Source organism: Homo sapiens, chromosome 1 (genome assembly GCF_000001405.40).
Source record: "Homo sapiens chromosome 1, GRCh38.p14 Primary Assembly".
Classification (NCBI taxonomy): domain Eukaryota; kingdom Metazoa; phylum Chordata; class Mammalia; order Primates; family Hominidae; genus Homo; species Homo sapiens.
Window position 1 is genome coordinate 152,626,743 of NC_000001.11, and position 5,425 is coordinate 152,632,167.

Consider the following 5,425-nt stretch of genomic DNA (forward strand, 5'->3'; position numbering starts at 1 on the left):
GGGCAGGTAAAGGCTCTTCCTGGCATCCTGTGCTTGCTCATTCCTCCTGTGGTGGCCCCATGGAAACTCCCAAGTGGTTGCTTTTTGTTGCCAATGAGGAGATGAAGTTTTGCCAAGGAACACCCTTTCCTCAGGCTTAGTCCCCACTGAGCAGCCTGGGGATTCCCAAGAAGCCCGTCATTGGATTAGAGATTATATGACTCCAGGTATCCATGTGTCTGTCCCTTCTTAGGAAACATCTAGTCACACCCTCTCCTTTAACTTATTTGAAAGAGGGCAGGAGGAAGGGAGATCAGTTGCTGGCCAGGGGACTGACAGAACAGAATGGATTTGTAGAAAAGCATATTCAAGACTTAGTGACTCATTGTCTGTGCAAGATGGAGGATATGAATTAGCCAAGATTATGTTATTAACTCTCCTAATGATTAGGAGCATAGAAAGCTTTCTTTAGAGAATTTTGAGGTTGAGGTCACAGAAGGACCTTGAAGTGGATATAGCTTCAGGATGTTTGAAGAAATGGGGGTGGAGGCTTATGATCTACTGGTCAAGAAAGTCCTGGAGGGAAACTTCTGAATCACACTCTGATTATTTTCTTGTATTCTCCTCCTTCCTTCCATCCCTCCCTCTTTACCTCTATTCTTTTCTTCTTTCTTCCTCCTTCCCTCCCTCCCTTCCTCTTCCCTCCCTTCCTTTGCACCACTAACCAAGAACCAATTTGGTCTATGAGACCAAACAAAGCCAGTGAATATCACACATGATGTTTCTGTTGTCACTGCAGCCCCAATCAGCTAAGAGTGGTGGGTGGGTACAAAAGTATCTAAAACTTTAAACCACTGATATGAAGATTCATGGAAGCAGTGACCACCTTGTCAACAGTGTTCCTAGTAGCACAGTGTTCCTAGTAGTTCCCAGTTTATGGTACAACAGTGATTGTCCCTGGGCATTATGGGACACATGGCTAGAGACTTTTCATCCTTCTGCTCTGAGCACACCCATCTACACACATTCACCACATATCCATACACATAATGATGCTCCATTATGACTATTCCTGTCAAACGGAATGAGGGAACCACAGAAGACATCACCAAGGCCATTTTTAGATGATTCAGTGTCTTGACTATCTCATTGGAAAACAGTAATTCAAACTTCAAACCTGTGCAAGTGTCCCTTCCTTCCTTTGTTCTTTCCTTCCTTCCTTCATTTTTTTCTTCCCTCCCCCTTTCCTTCTTTCTTTCTTTTTCTTTTCTAATTATTATAAGATGGTTTTCAAATATTCCACTGAACTTTGAACAACTTGGGGAGATCCTTATGTTATCATCTTTGAATTTCTAAGCAATGATGAACTGAGAATTGTCTTTATGGAAGGTGTTTAATTAATCTTTGCTGAATTAAACTCACAGCTCTGAGAGGATAGCGGCCATATCTGGGAACAGAAAATCAGTGAGAACTTGGAGACTGAAAAAAGAAGAGTCACAGAGGCCAAGGGCTTGGCTAATGTCAGGAATTCCCATGGCACATGCTCTTGCTCTTGGCCCGTGTCTGGCTTCTGACAGCTAAGTACCCTTGCCCCACTAACATGCTCTGTTCTGCTTATGACTACTGTATTTCCATGCTCCCCAGATGAGACTCAAGGCTCAGCAGGGATTTGGATCTCAGGGCTGAGCATGTCCCCTCCACCTCATCAAAGAGCCTCCTCCTTGCTCTGTGCTTGGGCAATGCTGTGGGGAATCCAGCCTAGAATAGAATAAGGGGATCTGACGAGATATCCTGTTCTGGCCCAGGAGTGGGGCCAAGGGGGAGCATCTGTAGTGAGCCGAGGAACCTCCTCATTGGGATATTCACAGGGACCTAGCAGGTGAGAGACAGAGAGGCCTAAGGAGGCTGAAATCTTATTTGAGGCTCTGGGAGAGGAGCCTTAAAGAAATCATGTAATCTGAACCCCCTCAGGAAAAGTGTGGATGCCTGAAGATGTCAAGACCCTGTTTCTTCAGAGTTCCCTCACATGAACACAGGAATAGACTGCTTCTTTGTTCCATTTCCTAGGAGTGGGGTCTTACGGATTCAACTTGATGAGAAAATAAGTGTTAGAGAAAGAGTTGCCTGGATGTAACTGAGCAATTTCTGGATGCTTTCTCAACCATATGAGGAAATCTATGGAGTGAGATTGGACTTCCCTGAGAACATCTGTCTTCTGTAGCTGATGTGGGTCATAGTTGAGCTGACTGCATATTAAAGGCATGGGGAGGGGAAGGAGTTAGGGGTGAAGGGTGTGGGGAAGAGCTAGATAGGATCTGAGGCAAATATGTGGGGGTGGGCTTTCTCTATTACCTTCTGTAAATTTACTCTCTATAAATTACTTAATTTCCCAATGCCTCAATTTCCTTATCCATAAAATAGGGATTAAGCTGATGGTATGGAATATAAGTATCAATTAATGATATAATAAGCAAGACAATGGGGAGAGGTGGAGCAAGGTAGTCAAATAGAAGCCTCCAGCAATTTCCCCCCTGCAAGAACACCAAATTGAACAACTATCCACACAAGAAACCAGCTTCATATGAACCAAAAATTAGGTGAGCGATCAGAGTACCTGGTTTTCACATCATGTCAAGGAAAAAGGCACTGAACAGGATAGGAAACACAGTCTTGAACTGCTGACACCACTTCTTCCTCATCCCATGGCAGCAGCTACATGGCATGGTGAGAGATAGTGTGTGCTTCAAAGAAAGAGAGTGCAGTGATTGTGGGACTTTGCATTGAAACTCAGCGCTGCCTTGTCACAGTAAAAAGAAGCATGGGGTAGAATTCAGCTAATGCCCATGGAGAGACCATTTAGACCAGCCCCAGCCAGAGAGGAATTGCCCATGCCAGGAGTTGAAATCTGAGTTCTGGCTAGCCCCATCACCATGGACTAAGTATTCTGGGATTCTAAATAAACTTGAAAGGCAGTCTAGGCCACAAGGACATAAATTCCTGAGCAAGTCCTGGTGCTCTGCTGGGCTCGGAGCCAGTGGACTTGGGGTGCACATGACCTAGTGAGACACCAGCCAGGGCAGCCAAGGGAGTGCTTGTCTTACTTCTTCCCCAACCCTAGGCAGCACAGCTTACTGCCCTGGGAAAGACTCCTTCCTGACACTTGAGGAGAGGACAGAAGAGAGTAAAGAGTACTTAGCCTTGCAACTTGGATAGCAGCTCAGCCACAGTATAATAGGGCACCATGCAGTGGCCTAAGGCCCCCATTCCCTGCCCTAGCTCCCAGTTGACAATTCTAGACACAGCCTGGGCCAGAAAGGAACCCACTGCCTTGAAGGAAAGGACCCAGTCCTGGCAGGATTCATCACCTGCTGACTAAAGAGCCCTTGGGCCTTGAATAATCATCCGTGGTAACCAGACAGTTTTCACCTCAGGTTTTGGGTAAGACCCAGGGCTGTGCTGGCTTCAGGGGTGACCCAGTGCCTTCTCAGCTGTGGTGGCTATGGGAGAAGACTCTTTCTGCTTTAGGAAAGGAGAGGAAAGAGTAAAGGGAACTTTGTCCTGCAGCTTGGGCACTGGCTCGACCACAGTGGGATAAGCACCAAGCAGGCTCCCAGGGTCCCTGATTCCAGATCTTGGCTCCTGGACAGCATTTCTGGACCTACCCTGGGCCAGAGAGGAGCCCATTGCCCTGGAGGGAGAGACCCAGGCCTGGCAGCATTTACCACAAGCTGACTGAAAAGCCCTTGGTCCTTGAGTGAACATCAGTGGTAGCCAGGCAGTACTCACTGGGGGCCTGGATTGGCGGTGGCCATAAGGAGAGGCTCTTTCTGCATAAGGAAAAGAATAAAAAGAGTGGGAAGGACTTTAGTGGCTTTGGTGCCAGCTATCCACAGCAAAATAGAGGACCAAGTAGCTTCCTAAGATTCCCAACTCTAGTCTCTGGCTCCTGCATGGCATTCTGGGGCCTGCCCTGGGCTGGGGTACAGCTCACTGCCCTGAAGCGTAGGACACAAGCCCAGTTGGATTCACCACATGCTTACTGAAGAGCCCTTGGGCCTTGAGTGAACATCATCAGTAGCCAGGCAATGGTCACTGAAGGCCTTGGGTAAGACCCAGTGCTGTGCTGAACTTGAGTCTGACCCAGCACAGTCCCAGTGGTGGTGACCGCAGTGGTGCTTGTGTCACTCCTCCCATAGCTCCAGGCATCTCAGCACAGAGAGATTCTGTTTGTCTTGGGGAAAGTGAAAGAAAGAGAACAAGCGTCTCTGCCTGGTAATCGGAATTTTCGTAAATCTTACCCAAGACCACCAAAACGGTACCTCTACGACTCTGCAAAAGTCACAGCATTATGGGGCTTGGGGTACCCCCTAATGCAGATACTGCTGCAGTGACTAAAGATTTAGATCACAACACACAATTATCTTTGAAAATTTGGAAACTTTCCCAAGGACAGGGCGATGTCCTGTCTGTCTTCAAAAGCCCAGACTGCAAAGTCTACAAAAAATACCTAACTCTTCGGTGATCAGACGTGAATAAACATCCACAAGCGTTAAAACCATCCAGGAAAATATGACCTCAAGACATGAATTAAAGAAGGCACCAGTGACCAGTCCTGGAGTGACAGCGATATGTGACCTTTCACACCGAGAATTCAAAATACCTGTTTTGAGGAAGCTCAACAAAATTCAAGATAACACAGAGAAGGAATTCAGAATCCTATCAGATAAATTTAACAAAGAGATTGAACTAATTTTAAAAATCAAGCAGAAATTCCAGAGCTGAAAAACTCAATTGGCTTACTGAAAAATGCATCAGAGTCTCTCAACAGCAGAATCAGTAAAGCAGAAGAAAGAATTAGTGAGCTTGAAGATGGGCTGTTTGAAAATACACAGTCAGAGAGACAAAAAAAAAAAAATAAAAATGAATGAAGCATGCCTACAAGATCTACAAAACAGCCTCAAAAGGGAAAATCTAAGGTTTATTGGCCTTAAAAAGGAAGAGAGAGAGAGAGAAAGAGAGAGAGAGGAGAGAAGAGAAGAGAGATTGGGATAGAAAGCTTATTCAAAGAGGTAATACAAAGAACTTTCCAAACCTACCCCAAGCAATCTACTGATTCAGTGCAATCTTTATGAAAATACCATTGACATTCCTCACAAAAATGGAAAAGACAATCCTAAAATTTATGTGAAACCACACAAAACCCAGAGTAGCCAAATCCATCCTGAGGAGAAAAACAAAACAAAACAAAAACCTGAGAGAACCAAGAGGAAACCAATCCCAAAGCTATCAGAAGACAAGAAATAATCAGAATCAGAGCTAAACTGAAGGCAATCAAGACACACACAAAAAAACCATTCAAAAGATCAACAAATTCAGCAGTTGGTTTTTTGAAAAAAATTAATAAAATAGATAGACAACTAGCTAGACTAATAAAGAAGAAAAGAGA